We start from the raw sequence: 17,664 nt of genomic DNA on the forward strand, positions 1-17,664 counted from the left end.
TATCTTTTTATTTTTATTTATTTATTTATTTTTGAGACGGAGTCTCGCTCTGTTGCCCAGGCTGGAGTGCAGTGGCACGATCTTGGCTCACTGCAATCTCCGCCTCCTGGGTTCAAGCAATTCTCTGCCTCAGCCTCCCGAGTAGCTGGGATTACAAGCGCCTGCCACCACTCCGGCTAATGTTTTTGTATTTTTAGTAGAGACGCGGTTTCACCATCTTGGCCAGGCTGGTCTTGAACTCCTGACCTCGAGATCCACCTGCCTTGGCCTCCCAAAGTGCTGGGATTACAGGCGTGTGACTCACACTATCAAGTGCATAGGAAACCAATGAGCTAGGTGACAATATATCCATTTATAAGTCTAGATAGTCCATTCCTGAGACTCCAACATATGTACATGCTATCAAGGTACTCTTTTTTTTTTTTTTCTTTCTTTTTTGGGACAGGGTGTCTGTCACCCAGGCTGGAGTGAAGTGGCACAATTACAGCTCACTGCAGCCTTGACCTCTGGGGCTCAAGGGATCCTCCCGCCTCAGCCTCCCAAGTAGCTGGGACCACAGGCATGTGTCACCACATCGGGCTAATTTTTTTTATTTTTAGTAGAGACACGGTCTCACTACAGCCCAGGCTAGTCTTGAACTCCTGGGCTCAAGTGATCCTCCTGCCTCTTCTCCCAAAGTGCAGGGATTACAGGTGTGAGCCACTGCACCCAGCCAGGGTAATTTTTTAAAATGCAGCATGTATTTGTTGAGTAGGGAATCTTGGCAAATAGAATCAAGAGGTTCTTGCAAACTATTTCACTCAGGCTGAAGAAAATTGACTTAACTTACTCCACAGTGTTTATTTTCTAGTTTTTTAACCCTCTTAAGGAATATTGCATAAACTATGAAAATTATTATCTAACTCTTCTCCAGATTCTACAGGGACCATTAATTTTTTGTTTACCACACTGTTCTTTTATTTATTTATTTATTTTGAGATGGAGGCTGTTGCCCAGGCTGGAGTGCAATGGTGCGATCTCGGTTCACTGCAACCTCCGCCTCCCAGGTTCAAGCGATTCTCCTGCCTCAGCCGCCCGAGTAGCTGGGATTACAGGCATGTGCCACCACGTCTGGCTGGCTAATTTTGTATTTTTAGTAGAGATGGGGTTCCTCCATGTTGGTCAGGCTGGTCTTGAACTCCTGACCTCAGGTCATCCGCCTGCCTTGGCCTCTGAAAGTGCTGGGATTACAGGCGTGAGCCACCGCGCCCGGCCTTACCACACTGTTCTTAAGACAGATGATAATAAAGTCACTTGACAGAAAAACTGGGTGCAAAATGTGTGGCTTTGATTTACAGGCTGACTGAAATTAAAGCTTTCTTTCTGAACTTAAACCTCAAAGCTACAGGTAATTTTTTTTTTTTTTTTTGAGAAAGAGTTTTGCTCTTATTGCCCAGACTGGACAGCAATGGCGTGATCTCGGCTCACCGCAACCTCCGCCTCCCGGGTTCAAGCAATTCTCCTGCCTCAGCCACCCAAGTAGCTGGGATTATAGGCATGCGCCACCACGCCCGGCTAATTCTGTACTTTTAGTAGAGACAGGGTTTCTCCATGTTGGCCAGTCTGGTCTCGAACTCCCGACCTCTGCCTGCTTCGGCCTCTCAAAGTGCTGGGATTACAAGCGTGAGCCACCATGCCTGGCACAGCTATAGGTAATTTAAACAAAATAGGTGAAAAAATTTCTAGCTATAAAATGGACACAATTTAGTCTTAAAACTCAAACAGAATATTGAAACATTTACAAATAGAAAAAAGCTCAATGCATTCTACAGAACAAAAATGTCCAGTCTTTTCCTATATAGTTAAAGCCAGTGATCCCATTTTTATTAATATCTGCTAAAACCCATGTAGCAGTTTGTAGATGTAGTTATTTACTCAGGAATCCTAAGACACAAAAAATAAACTAAATTTTAAGCAGCTGTTTCAAAAAAGACTATACACACATAAAATAGGATTACACACTTTAATCTGATTGACACTGAGGAAGTAGGGAGGACATGAAAGAAATTTAGTTTTAGCTCTGCTTTATGCATAACCAGATGCTCCTTTTCTAAAAAGTATATTGAGGTTTTAAAAAACACATTTATCAGAATACTTCAGGAAACCATACTATGTGTAATCCAGGAAATACACTATTTGCAGAATAGGAAAATCATCACTGGCAACAAAAGATTAAAACAAAAATAAAGCACCAGGGTTCTGAGCAGTTCTAAGGTGAGTATATCAGCAGAAATAGTGTAAATGCTCTTGACTGGTTGCTATGCAAACATGCTAATGAGGACTAGTCCATGTCTTATAATTTTTTTTTTTAACATGTTTCTTTGGAAAAATGGCAATATTGAGTGGAAGAGAAGCTGTCCTTTTAGACACCCAGCTTATTGGCCTGGGTGAGAACAACTTTGAGAACTGGCATGAAAGCAGAGGTCTCACTGAAGTTGCTGGTGCTAACTATGTGGGTATGCATGGTCAATCCTTCTGAGTAGTTTCGAGTTTCAATGCTCCTTGCAATGTTGTGTAAACCACTGGTGATTGTTGGTGAAAGCTGAAACAAAAGTGAACCAAGAGAAAGAATTAAATTAAGGGATAACTTCCCATGAGATCCTCCATAAACATTAAACCCAGATATTTAAGTGGAATTTGAAACAAACATTATAAAAATATATAAACCATTTAGCATTTCTAGAAAGTTTCTTGAACCAAGCAACAGTTATCAAGTACAACCACAACAAAATGATTTACATAAATAAGTTATTTATGAATTATACATGTATAAGCCAGGTATTTTCTTACAGAAAAGCAGCCCGATTTCCTCTCCAAACTGAAATGCTAATTTCTCTCTCCACTTAAGAGAGCTTCAGACCTTTAAAAAATTCTCCTATGCACAAAAAGGAGATTAAAGATTCTTAATCATAATATCTCAAAGGAAGGGCCCAAATTTACTAATTCTTACCTGCTTTTTATAATCCTGTCATCTCTTAAAACTATAAAACCTGTAGTTTTTTACTATGTCATTACTTGGCATAGGTGTCCATACTTTACAGAAGACTTTATTTGGATTTTTTTTTTTTGAGATGGAGTCTCACTCTGTCACCCAGGCTGGAGTACAGTGGTGCGATCTCGACTCACTGCAACCTCCGCCTCCCGGGTTCAAGCGATTCTCCTGCCTCAGCCTCCTGAGTAGCTAGGACTACAGCCGTGTGCCACCATGCCCAGCTAATTTTTGTATTTTTAGTAGAGACGGGGTTTTGCCATGTTGGCCAGGCTGGTCTCAAACTCCTGACCTCAGGTGATCTGCCCGCCTCAGCCTCCCAAAGTGCTGGGATTACAGGCGTGAGCCACCATGCCTGGCCTATTTTGATCTCATTTTTAAAAAATGTTTTAATATATACTCATCTAGATGTATACGCTAATTGTATCTTCTGTTTTTTTTTTTTTTTTTTGGAAATGCGGTCTTGCTATGTTGCCCAGGCTGGTCTCAAACTCCTGGGCTCCAGTGATCCTCCCGCATCAGCCTCCTCAGTAGCTGGGATTACAGGCATATCCCACTGTGCCCACCGAGAAGACTTTATTTTGGATCAGTCCAAGGACCACACTACTTCCACTGTTATATCAACTTTCTTTAGTTTGGTTCTCATGAGAGAAATGGTTATTTTCATCTGATGGAACTGAGTGTGGGGAATGGGTTAGAGGAATGCTGAAATGGAAAAAATAAAAAGAAAGTCCCACTTCTTTTTTTCTTCTCCTTTCCTAGTGCTTTCATTAATAAAACAAGACAATTTTAGAAAAGAATGGTGAGGTGGGGACAAGAGAACAAACGTAGTGAACTGACTTCTTACTCCTGGCTATCTTCATAGTTACAGCACATTACCCTATTCATCTTGTGGCTACATTTGGCTTTGCTTTTGTATAATGGCTATCCTAAAAGAAAAGGGTCAAGAGTCTTAGACTATGATAAAGATTATAGATTTAGTCCCTGGAAAACAGAGTATCTGCATACTCTTTGATTTCTTGTAACTGGGCCATATAAAAGGAACAGCAGAAGGTCAGCTACCTTATGGCCAACACAGGCCAGTTTGTATTTATACTCTTGTTATGAGAGGGTTAAAATGTCTCTCTCAACACACCCACACAAACACACACACACACACCCGTATCCCCTTAACCCCAGTGAGTGGAATTTATGATTCAACACAGCCATGCCCATTCTCTAAATGTCATGACAATTTTGCCCCCATGCATACTAAATGGGAGTGCTGATAAGACAACTGTTTTACTAGCAACTAGGAATAAATGATTATCATAAATCCTTTTCCTCCAAAACTTACTGTCTGTTCCCTAAGTTTATCATACAGAAACTCCAAACGTTTGCTGGCATCATCTAGCTTCCTCTTGGTTTGCTGCAGGAAAGAAAAAATAGATGTTATATTTGAACATTAACTTTTAACCTAAGAACTTGCCCTATCTCATTGCACTAAACCTTATACTTAAAATGTTGAATGGCTTCATTTTATAAAGAAATGGAGGCAACTACAACTAAGAAACTTGAACAGATTATGGCCGGGCGTGGTGGCTCACGCCTGTAATCCCAGCACTTTGGGAGACCAAGGCAGGCAAATCATGAGGTCAGGAGTTTGAGACCAGCCTGGTCAACATGGTGAAACCCTGTCTCTACTAAAAATACAAAAAATTTGCTGGGCGTAGTGGCAGGCGCCTGTAATCCCAGCTAGTCGGAAGGCTGAGGCAGGAGAATTGCTTGAACCCAGGAGGTGGAGGTTGCAGTGAGCCGAGATCACGCCACTGCACTCCAGGCCCAGGCGACAGTGCAAGACTCCGTCTCAAAAAAAAAAAAAAAAAAAAAAGAAACTTGAACAGATTATTAGAACAGAGATCAATCATCTATCAAGGGTGGAGGGTGGAGGGGACTGGGATGAGGAGAGGATGAGACTTACTTCCAGTGCATGAAAGAGTACTGATTGGATTTCATATGAACTGCAAACTCACTTGATAAGGTATATATGCATGTTTGCTTGCACTATATTCACAAGCATCAGGAGGCAGCAATGGGTCAGTGTATCACAAAAAAGAAGGTCTAAGTAGTTATTGTCGATTATGGGTGGTAGAAGGCAAACATATAGGTGAACTGTGGAATCTTGTTTTAACCTTTCAAAAATACTACTTAAACACTTAGTTACATTTGTTTAATCCTGCCTTTTTCTAAGCCTTTAAAGCACCAAGAAAGAAAGAAAACTATCTTTTGGCAGCTTAAGATTACTGAGGGAAGTAGTAAAATAAATTATTAAATTAAAAAGCTTTTTTTTCTCTCTACCATAGCACTGTAAAGTATAATCAAAGAAACTATTCTAAAACTAAAACTAACAGTTTTAAAATTACATGATTAACTTAATGTTCTACATTATACCACAGCCTTATGTTAGTTCAATATTTATTGGCTGCTTACTATGTGCTGTACCAGGGACAAAGTCTTGTATGTCATGTAGCTCATATCCCACTGGGTGAGAAAAGATACTAAATGAACAATATATTGCATGTCAGATGGTGATAACTGCTATGAAGAAAAGTTAATAGAGGAAGGGGGCTAAACATGTTGGGAGTTGGGGGTAATAAAGAAAGGCCTGATGGCTAATGGGACATGTGAGCAGAGGCCTTGAACTTGGGAGGAAACAAACAATGCAGATATGTGGAGGAAGAGTTCCAGGCAGAAGGAGCAGCAAGTATAAAGTCCTGACGCTGAAATGCTCTTGGTGTGTTCAAGGAAGGAATGCCAGTGTGCTTGGAGAAGAGAGAGAAGAGACAGGCCATCAAGGATGCTACATACCAAGTTGTGTGGCAAAATTACTTTGTGCTGTTTAGACATAAAGTGAAAATAAGATACATCCATGCTATAAAAACTATTCCAACTACTGATTAAAATGAACTTTTGCGGAAAGGAAACCTTACAATCCTTGCTCAAAGTTAACCTGGCCAGGTGCGGTGGCTCATGCCTGTAATCCCAGCACTTTGAGAGGCCGAGGTGGGCGGATCACCTGATGTTGGGAGTTCGAGACCAGCCTGACCAACATGGAGAAACCCTGTCTCTTCTAAAAATACAAAATTAGCCGGGCGTGGTGGCACATGCCTGTAATTCCAGCTACTAGGGAGGCTGAGGCAGGAGAATCTCTTGAACCTGGGAGGCGGAGGTTGCAGTGAGCCGAGATTGCACCATTGCACTCCAGCCTGGGCAACAAGAGTGAAACTCCGTCTCAAAAAAAAAGAAAAACAAAGTTAACCTTATCTAGCTACAAACAGGAGCCCTACCCCAAGGGGGCAAGGGCAGCCGGACAGGCAGGATATTAGAACTTCTTCCCCAACTAATTACAGAAATTATAGGAACACTTTGTCTTTTATGGTTCTCTACTACCCAGAGCTCCTCGGTATCCAAGAGGAATATAGTATGATGACCGAGAGAAGGGTAAATTAACAAAAAATGTATTGAGTTGGGCCATGTATTACGTGTCTTCCCAACCTCTCTATACTGACTCACGCCTGAAGAATTGGTGTGTTGTCATTCTTATTCAGATGCTTCCATTTTTGAATGACTACAGCCTGTCTATTTAGAAGTGTGCATAAGGGCTAGCATGTATCTGGTTATCAGCTTCGTCTGCTCTCTTGTTTCCACCTTGGTCTTCCCATCACTCCCAGAATGTCAGGCACTAAGGTTTATGTTAACTGCTTTCCTGATACTTTCAGTACAGAGAATGGCTTTCCACAAAGCCACTGACCAGCAGAAGGCTGCACATATTAATACTCAATGTCTGATGAACAATAAGATCTAGAAGATGTTTTTTCATGCAGACAAGTAGCCGATGATTAAAAATATTCAATGTGTGCTAGCAGAAAATGAAATTTCACTTAAGACTGGCTTTGTGGAATGTTTGTTGTTGCAATACAGGGGTATCTTAAGTAAACTAAGTAAAATCAGTTGCTTTAAATGTAAATATGCCTCCGATATCTAAAACATTTAACTATCTTTAACATCTCTGCAAAGCTTTAGAAGATGATCTATCTACTTTTAACAATTTCAATATAAGCTCAGAAAGAAATCCCAAATCTGAGTTTCTTGCATAGCACCATTATGCTCCATTTATGTGCCAAATACAGTTTTGTTGATGAGAGGCAGTATAGCTTGGTGGTTGAGAGCATGAATTCTGGAGCCAGACAGTCTGGGTTTGAATGCTGGCTCTGACCTTAAGTGTTACTTAACTGCTCTCTGCCTTACTTTTCTTGTCTGTAAAATAAAAATGACAAATCTATCTGCCATAGGTTATTGTGAAGATTAAGTACATTTATATATAAAAAGCAATTAAATATATTTCTATATGTAATGCAAACTATGTAAGTGCTAGCTTTATTACTTTTGTACAAATTTTTAGAAATATACCTTGTAGGACTTCAAACAATAATTATAGAAGAACTCCATAAAGAATTCTTTTATTTTATTATATTTTATTTATTTTGAGACGGAGTCTCTGTCACCCAGGCTGGAGTGCAATGGCGCGATCTCGGCTCATTGCAACCTCTGCCTTCTGGGTTCAAGCAATTCTCCTGCCTTAGCCTCTCGAGTAGCTGGGACTACAGGTGTATTCCACCACACACAGCTAATTTTTTGTATTTGTAGTAGAGACGGGGTTTTGCTATGTTGGCCAGGATGGTCTTGAACTCCTGGCTTCAAATGATCCACCTACCTCGGCCTCCCAAAGTGCTGGGATTACACGCATAAGCCACCACACCTGGCCAAGGATTCTTCTAATTAAGCAAAATATGATTTAAAAAAATAAATACATACAGGGTCTGTTGCTGAAGAAAGGCAGCGCTGAATAAGATCCTCAAATGTGGTCTTTAGAATGAGGTGCTCATCTGGAATAGGTTTCTTGGTAATTTTTTTTGTTGGCAAAGACTGCACATGCTGGAAGAAACACACCAAAAACTGATCAGAAATGACCAGAAGCTACCTTATATACACAATCTTGAATCTATGTGATAAACAGAAACCGACAACCTTGTACATAGACCTATTCAAAATCAAATTAAAATTTAATGTGTGAAATCACTTACGATAAGTAAAAATAAAAACCAGATATCTAGTACAAAGTGTAGGCGCTCTTCCTACAGTTTGGATTTTCATATGCAGGACTGGATACAAAGTAGTTGATTAATTTAGGTAACATATGTTGGTCAATATTGTTTATAACTGATGGGAAATAAGTATGTGCCAGCAGAGAATAAAAACAAGGCACTGGAAAACACACTCGGCTGGTTAGAATGGCTGCTTGCTCTGCCTATTGGCTCATTTACGTGTATGCTGGCATTCTTCTATTCTTTGTTTTACTCTTAGAGGTTGTTAACTGGGCTGTGATCAAAACTGCAAGATTAAGCCAAAGATTAAGAGAGAAGACATCCCGATGCTGCTGAGTATACAGATGAAAGAACAAAGAAGAAATGTTTAAGTTAAGTTTTATTAGTTCATTCTTTCACTCATTCAAAAAATATTAGGCAACTATTTACCAGGAACTGGCTACGTACTACTGGTGAGCCAATACAGAAATGATCTCAGTTCTCAGGGAGTTTACAGGTTAATGGAAGAGGCACAGTTTAAAAACATCACCAATGTACATAAAATAGCAACTGCAGTACGTTAACACGTAGTGGAAACAAAAGATGCTATAACTGAGATTTGACTGAAGGGAAGGGAAGGCTCTCTCAGGAAATTTTACTGGAAGGACAAAATGGAGTTGAACAGTTAAGTGAGGAAAAAAGAGCATTCCAGACGAAAGGAATAACATGTAGAAAGGAAGGATCACGGTAAAAGGGAGCTAAAAGGCCAGTATAGCTGGAGCAGAGAGAACAAGGAGTATGAACTGAGGCCTCCCAGACAATGTTGACTATTTTGGTCCTTATACTGAGAACAATGGGAAGCTGTAATGTTTTAGGCAAAGAGGAAAAAAGGCCAAATTAGAGATGGATCAAAGTAGATATCGGCAGACCAATTAGGAGGTTCCTGCACTGATGAAGATTAGAGATGAAGGTAGCTTGGACTACAGTAGAAATGTGGAGAAGAAAGGATTCAAAAAATATTTTGGAGTAATATCGACGAGACTTGGGGAGATTTAAAAGAGAGGTTAAAGGGAAAAGTGCATAAAGATGATCCCCAGGTTTTTGCCTGGATTCCACAGAAAAGATTATGGTGCCACTCACTGATAACAGGAAACAAGGAAAGATGACTAAGTTTGGGAGGAAGAGTATGAATTAGGTTTTGGACATGCTGAGGTTGAAGTACCTCCAAGACATCCAAGTAGGCAGGCAGCTGGGTATACAGCCTGGCTGAACACTATGTATCTTTCTCTTTTGATGGTAACTAAGGTTCAGGTCTAGGTGAGTACAGCATGAGAACCCAAGTCTAAACAAAGATAAGTGGCTGATTAGCTTCCCAAAATAACACAGGCTTATAATCTTTTTTATTTTTTTTTAAATACAACTCTATAATTAATTTTTATTTTTTCAGAAAGAACCATTTCTTCTCATCTTTGTCAAAATGTTTTTATAATGCAACTCTTAATGTTTAAAAATTCCTTAGGCATATTATCTCTTTTTGTTGTTGTTGTTGAGACGGAGTCTCGCTCTGTCGTCCAGGCTGGAGTGCAGTGGCGCAATCTCAGCTCACTGCAACCTCTGCCTGCTGAGTTCAAGCAATTCTCCTGCCTCAGCCTCCCGAGTAGCTGGGACTACAGGCGCCGCCACCACGCCCAGCTAATTTTTGTATTTTTAGTAGAGACAGGGTTTCACCATGCTGGCCAGGCTGGTCTCCAACTCCTGACCTCAGGTGATCCACCCGCCTCGGCTTCCCAAAGCATTGGGATAAGAGGCGTGAGCCACTGCACCCGGCTTCAGGCATATTATCTCTTAACAGTAAAGTATAATCTTGTGACAAGAGATACAGTCTTTACAAATTTGACTTCAATGAATCAAAGACAGAAACAGACAGTAGAACTAGTTTTTTTACTTGGGCAGGAGCTTGTTTCATCTTCTTATATTGAACTTTGATCTAAGCTCTTTATTTCTCATGAATAGATCAAAATACTTAACTCTGTATGTCTAAGTGTATTATGTAGAAATGTGTTAGATTTTTCAATATGCAGGACTTTGCCAACTGGCTGTTTGTGTGTGAAAAGCAAGTAAAAAATGTTTATCTCTATCTGATGATAAGGCTGTATTATTAGCTTTTATACATACACATAAAAATATATAACTCACTATATTTTTCTTTTCTATTTTAAGGAGAAAAATCTTTGGAAACAGCTTTTGCTTAGCAACCTCACGCAGAGATGATTTATCTGATTTTAAATTGTAGCTACTGACTAAGCCAAGTTATAGTAAACAAACGCTCTCAAATGTATAACCTTCTTCTAGAGAAGTTTGTATGTGGCCATGTAATTGAAAAATAATATACATACATGATCGATCTTAAAAAAAAGTTACTATTTTTTGTTTAGGTTGTCTAGATGTTTAATAATAATCATGCAATCATAAAAGTTAGCACATTAAAGAAAATATACTGAAACACAGCCATCTTCCCATTCCACTTCTACAAATTTACTGTTACCTGGAAGGTATTTCCAATAGGAGCCCCTGGGGCACCTTCAATATTGGGCTTTGAAAAAGATGGTGGCATGCCTGTTTGACCAAGAGGTTGCTGTACGCCATGGAAGGGCTGGCCACCTGGAAGATGTGGCTGTGGGAATGAAGACTGGCTTGACAGTGGTACTGGAGCTGAAGGCTGTTGCTGCAGCATTTGTGACTGGGGGTCACCCAACGGGTTCATGATTGGTGATGTGATGGGAACAGGAGGCATGAAGTTTTCAGGCATCTGTTAAAAGATGGAAATAAAAGACACCAGGAGTAAGAATAAAAACGATAGCAACATTTCTTCAGCTTAAAATAAGGGAGTTAGGTTATACCACGGCTAAACAAATTTTTTAATAGTAGTAGAATACTTTTTTCAAATGAAATTTTATGCAGAATAAAGTAAACAAAGTAAAACATAAAAACAGAGCTGATTTGGCTAAGAGGGATAGGGAGCTCAAACCTGGACTTCTTTGTCTCCCTTTACCCTCCCATACTTATCCCCAATAAAGCGGAGCTAAAACCATGGCTTTTTTTTTTTTTTGAGATAGAGTCCCGCTCTGTCGCCCAGGCTGAAGTGCAATAGCGCAATCTCAGCTCACTGCAACCTCCGCCTCCCAGGTTCAAGCAATTCTCGTGCCTCAGCCTCCCAAGTAGCTGGGATTACAGGCGCGTGCCACCACGCCCAGCTAATTTTTGTATTTTTAGTAGAGATGGGGTTTGACCATACTGGCCAGGCTGGTCTAGAACTCCTGACCTTGTGATCTGCCCGCCTCAGTCTCCCAAAGTGCTGGGATTACAAGCACCATAGCATTTTTGAAAGAGGGTATCAGGTCTGGAGAACTGTATGTAGCAATACTGGAATCAGAGGTGCCAAGTATGCATGGGCGTGTATGTGCACATGTGTTTAATATGATCAGAATGTAATACCTAAGTAGACATTATTTGGCAATTCTATCACACTAAAAGTACTAAATTCAGTTTCTGATTAATACTAACCTAAATATTGGGTTTCTTTCCTTATTTAATGCCTCCTAATTTTATATTATGGCCTCTCATTAGTATAGTTGGGGAAAGAGGTCATTAGGAATTTTTTTAAAAGTAAAAATGGCTTGGGCAAAAAGCAGCATCTTAATTTGTGCTCTAACAGCTCTTAACAGTTACTGAGATCTGTATAGTGCTCAGCCACAAGGCTATTTCATTCATACTATACGTGACAGAAAAAGTCCAAAATTTAATTGCCAAATTCATGATTACTAGTAGAACCCAAAGACCAAAGTAACTCAAAAAAAAAAAAAAAAAAAAAAAAGAAAGCAACCCTGAAGCCTGAAATTTCCTACTTTTTGAAAGAGGCCTGTTGGGAATTTATATCTTGCCTTCTAAAGGGGCTTTAATTTATATCACCATCATCAGAACAAGGTTTTGATGATACTGTTTTCTACTTCCTTTCCTTCCTTCCATGGATTAGAAGGTGCATGTTGAAATACACTTTAAATACATCACTCAGTAAGCTTCGCCTTTAAAAGGATCAGTGAAGTATAGTGTGTTCCAAGTGGCTACGTGGTTAACATAACATCTGTAGGCCATTGGATGGACATCTTTTTCTAGTACCTTCTTCTTTTTGGGTACTCTGTTCAAAGCTGGAGGGTCATTCCAACCATTCTGAGGACCTATAACAGATAACAGAGAATGTTTTCCTTTAGAATCCTGAAAGGAAAAAAAATAAAACTGAATCGATCACCTAATACTTCAAAATTCTGCCTTAACCCTGAAATAACTGTCACAAAGGTTTTACCAGCCGAGTGTGGGGATCACTATGTAGCCCTGGATTCTCACACTCACATCTCTTAATAGGAACAAGGTCTTCACTTGGTAGGTAAGATATCTTGACACTGTTTCCATTTAAAGTAAAAGAGTGTGCTAAATTTAGGGTGGTGAAGTTTTTATTTATACTGGTGTATGACTTTCAAAGATCAGTTTACTATTCTCTCCTAATAATGAAAATACAAAGTCTGCTAAAAAAACAAAAACAAACAAAAAAAAAACACACCAGGCTTCTGATATATTCAACATATAAAAAAAAAGAGAATAAAATTAGCAATCTCCTATTTGCCAAGAGGGCAATTCAACATGAGCAAATCATCTATTCTAAACATGGTAGAAATATTCTTAAGAAAAAAGCAGACTCCAACTATGTAACACTAGTAATTTTTATCATCTTTGCCTCGGGAATTATAAGCAAAGTAAAAAAGGGTATTCAAATATCTGTGCTAAGATTTTTAATGCCGTAAAAAAAAATTTGCAGGCTGATAGCAAATATAAAATTAAAATATTACCAACTGTAGTAAATTTCCTCTAAAAAAAAACACATGCACACTAACAAATCAAAAAGCCCTGTTATTTCAAAGTGAAAAATGAACAACAGTAGCAGAACTTATTAAGTATTTTAATGCCAGTATCTTTAAAGAGGAAAGGAATACAACATGCTGGAAATAAGAATAATTTCTAAATCACAATTAATTCTTTCACATTTCACTAAGTGTGAGTTTTGATATTCTCTATAAGGAAGCAGATACTTGCTAAAGAAACTTTTGTGTATGTATATATGTAAAGACAAAAAAATTATTCCCTTTCCAATAAACGTTCTTTCAATATTTTAACTTGTACTTGTTTAACTGATATACATATTAAGTCACAAGAAAACTGTCAAACCAAAGTCACAGAAACTTTAAAAAATACAGATCTTCAACTAACCACCAGCGCTTACTTGTCTTGATTTTAAAACAGAATTCAGGCGAGGCGCAGTGGCTCATGCCTGTAATTCCAGCACTTTGGGCTGAGGCGGGTGGATCACTTGAGGTCAGGAGTTCGAGACCAGCCTGGCCAACATGGGGAAACCCCATCTCTACTAAAAATACAAAAATTAGCTGCTTGTGGTGGTGCATGCCTGTAGTCTCAGCTACCCAGGAGCTGAGGCAGGAGAATTGCTTGAACCTGGGAGGTGGAGGTTGCAGTGAACCAAGATTGTGTCACTGTACTTCAGCCTGGGTGACAGAACGAGACTCCGTCTCAAAAAAGTAAAAAATAAAAATAAAAAAATAAAAACAGAATTCATTTCTTAAAAGTTTACTAGGAGACAGAAAATCAGATATGGCTCAAAACAGTCAAGAGTTAACCACAAAATATTAACTCATATGCTGCTTTCTGATTAACAAATTCTTAAACTTCTGGTTCTACATAGATTAATCATTCAAATCTCTGCAATCACTTTCTAGTCTTACCCGTAGCTCAAGACAGTCTTGGCATAGTTGTTTTCTTTATGTCTATATAAAACAGACAGCCTTTATAACCAAGCTACTTGTGTAATCACGTAAATTCAATCAGTTGTAAAATCTGATTCAATTAAGAAGCCAAATAAAAAAAATGATCCTGATCAGATTTGGGATATCATCATCTTTGAAGTTCACATGCATTATTGTTAATGTCCATTCATTAATTGTATTCAATTATTCAAAGATTTCCAAAGGTATATTTTACAACCAATTCACCTTCCAACATAGGTGCCTGGTCTTGGATAGACTGGTTTTCTGTAGACAAAATGTAAAAATTACTTAACAGTGTTTACTGAAGACATTCTAAACTTTACTCATTTTATAATTGTTTCTTCTCCCTTCATTAATCCCCAGAAAGTGTAAATTAATTTAATAAGAGAACAAAACTCACTTTTTAATCAAGTCATGTGAAATGTCTTCTAATTAAGAAAGTAACTGGTTTTTTGACAGAGGGAATTTATTTAAGTTGTTAGATCCAATTAACTCTTAAACATCACTTTTTTCTTACTGTTCTTTTTTAAGAGAAAATTTTATCCCTTCATATTTAAAATAACAATGTTTCCCTAATTGTTTGCATGGATTGTTTTTCTACTATTTAACTAATGAAGCTCAGAAATATCACTGAGGGGACAGCACTTCCTAGCATATTCACCTAATGTGTCTATTTTGGTATTGTTCAAAGCTGTGAATCCAAATCAGCTATGGATCTTGTTAAACCGCAGATTCTTATTCATTAGGTATAGTGATAGAACCTTAGATACTGTCTTTGCAGCCATCTCCCAGATGATACGAATGCTGCTGGTCCAACACCCTCTTGAAGTAGCAGGGAACTGGAGAAATGGGGTGATTTCTACATGTCCTACAGACTTCAACCTGCATTTGATAAGGATAAACGTGCCTATCTTAGCACAGTGGTATCATTTTTCACTGCTGGATTTAGGAGGCCCCAGTGGTCTGTACCCTGCAGAAACTGTAATTTCTGGGGTCATACTGTGCATATAAATGAGAATAGGCCCAGCAAATAATGTAACCACCTCATATGGTCTTTTCTGTAAGAATATACAGATTTATGAGTGAACTCCCATTCACAATTGCTACTAAGAGAATAAAATACCTAGGAATACAACTTACAAGGGATGTGAAGAACCTCTTCAAGGAGAAACTACAAACCACTGCTCAAGAAATTAAGAGAGGACACAAATGGAAAAACATTCCATGCTCATGGATAGGAAGAATCAGTATCGTGAAAATGGCCTTACTGCCCAAAGTAATTTATAGATTCAATGCTATCCCCATCAAGCTACCACTGACTTTCTTATAGAATTGGAAAAAACTACTTCAAACTTCATATGGAACCAAAAAAGAGCCCACATAGCCAAGACAATCCTGGGCAAGAAGAACAAAGCTGGAGGCATCATGCTACTTGATTTCAAACATTACTACAAGGCTACAGTAACCAAAACAGCAAGGTACTGGTACCAAAACAGATATACAGACCAATGGAACAGAACGGAGGCCTCAGAAATACCACCACACATCTACCAGCATCTGATATTTGACAAACCTGACACACACAAGCAATGGGGAAAAGATTCCCTATTTAATAAATGGTGTTGGGGAAAACTGGCTAGCCATATGCAGAAAACTGAAACTGGACCCCTTCCTTACACCCTATATAAAGATCAACTCAAGGTGGATCAAAGACTTAAATGTAAGACCTAGGACCATAAAAATCCTAGAAGAAAACCTGGGCAATACCACTCAGGACATAGACATAGGCAAAGACTTCATGTCTAAAACAGCAAAAGCAATGGCAACAAAAGCCAAAATTGACAAATGGGATCTAATTAAAGAGCTTCTGCACAGCAAAAGAAACTATCATCAGAGTGAAAAGGCAACCTACAGAATGGGAGAAAATTTTTGCAATCTATCCATCTGACAAAGGACTAATATCCAGAATCTACAAAGAACTTAAACATATTTACAAGAAAAAAGCAAACAACCCCATCAAAAAATGGGCAAATGATATGAACAGACACTTCTCAAAAGAAGACATTTATACAGCCAGCAGACATATGAAAAAATGCTCATCATCACTGGTCATTGGAGAAATGCAAATCAAAACCACAGTGAGATACTATCTCACGCCAGTTACAATGGCGATCATTAAAAAGTCAGGAAACAACAGATGCTGGAGAGGGTGTGGAAAAATAGGAACGCTTTTACACTGTTGGTGGGAGTGTAAATTAGTTCAACCATTGTGGAAGACAGTGTGGCGATTCCTCAAGGATCTAGAACTAGGAATACCATTTGACCCAGCCATCCCATTACTGGGCATATATCCAAAAGATTATAAATCATTCTACGATAAAGACACATGCACACGTGTGTTTACTTTGGCACTATTCACAATAGCAAAGACTTGGAACCAACCCAAATGTCCATCAATGATAGACTGGATTAAGAAAATGTGGCACATATACACCATGGAATACTATGCAGCCATAAAAAAGGATGAGTTCATGTACTTTGCAGGGACATGGATGAAGCTGGAAACCGTCATTCTCAGCAAACTATCACAAGATCAGAAAACCAAACACCACATGTTCTCACTCATAAATGGGAATTGAAGAATGAGAACACATGGACACAGGGAGGGGAACATCACACACTGGGGCCTGTGGGGGGCTAGGGGAGGGATAACATTAGGATAAATACCTAATGTAGGTGACGGGTTGATGGGTGCAGCAAACCACCATGGCACATGTATACCCATGTAACAAAACTGCATGTAACCCAAAAGTTAAATTATAAAAAAAAAAAAAAAAATACAGATTTGCAGACTGAGCACAAGTCACCCAGAAATCACTACTTCTTATAGGAAACCAAAGTTTATAGCAGTGGACAAGAGAAAAACAGGCTGAAAACATAGCAATCCCAATTGTCAAATACTTAGGGTCAGGACAGGCCTAGCCTCAAATCAAGGGTATGGAATGTCAGTATGTCAGACATATAACTCATGTGGATTCAGCTATCATTAATTGATGAGGGAGGGAGGAAAGGAGAAATTAAAATTGTTATTTCATTCTGCAATTAAATAGGCAGTAAAAGAATAGAAAAAATACAGTGAGTTCAATTTAGTTTGGACTCTACTCAAGAAGCACATGTCCCAGGGAAACTGTGAGGGGGGAGAGGTAATCCCACAGTTTGAAATCTCATTGTGTAGAGTGCAATTCTAATGTTTACTGACAGATGTTTTTCATACAAGATATAAATGCAAGCCAACTTTTTCATCTGGGGTTTACCTGTAAAAAGGATCAAGGATAATTGACTGTAAGTGATTTTCTATTTTTATCTTACATGATGACTTTACAACCTAGCTCTCCATGTGAGATATGACTTCATAACACTATAGTTTATAAATGCCCGGTGAGTCACTGTGTGTGCATTCCAATAGAGGACTGACCTGATTCCCAACTACTAATGCACTCTCTAGCACCAGGCTTCAGCTTCTGGCTGAGAGAGGTAATATAATACAAACCTGAAAGTACTGGAAACACAGTGGGCTTGACCCTTTAGTCAGGTCAAAACAACATGTCCTCTTCCCCTTCCTCAT

General features: G+C 38.9%; 1 protein-coding gene across 57 annotated transcripts in view; it reads right to left on the reverse strand.

Moving 5' to 3' along the window:
- SEC31A (SEC31 homolog A, COPII component) overlaps positions 1,837–17,664 on the reverse strand; it is an 82,061-nt gene continuing 66,233 nt past the window's right edge. For 33 of the 57 annotated variants that reach the window (NM_001400214.1, NM_001400223.1, NM_001400213.1 and 30 more), the window contains 5 exons: positions 12,328–12,386; positions 10,697–10,960; positions 7,883–8,002; positions 4,365–4,436; positions 1,989–2,581 (listed from right to left, as the gene is read on the reverse strand). In NM_001400214.1, coding sequence (NP_001387143.1) covers positions 2,402–2,581; positions 4,365–4,436; positions 7,883–8,002; positions 10,697–10,960; positions 12,328–12,386 — 695 coding nt within the window. In that variant the 3' untranslated portion in view covers positions 1,989–2,401. 57 annotated transcript variants of the gene reach the window in all.

The sequence above is a fragment of the Homo sapiens genome, chromosome 4, assembly GCF_000001405.40.
Source record: "Homo sapiens chromosome 4, GRCh38.p14 Primary Assembly".
Lineage (NCBI taxonomy): Eukaryota > Metazoa > Chordata > Mammalia > Primates > Hominidae > Homo > Homo sapiens.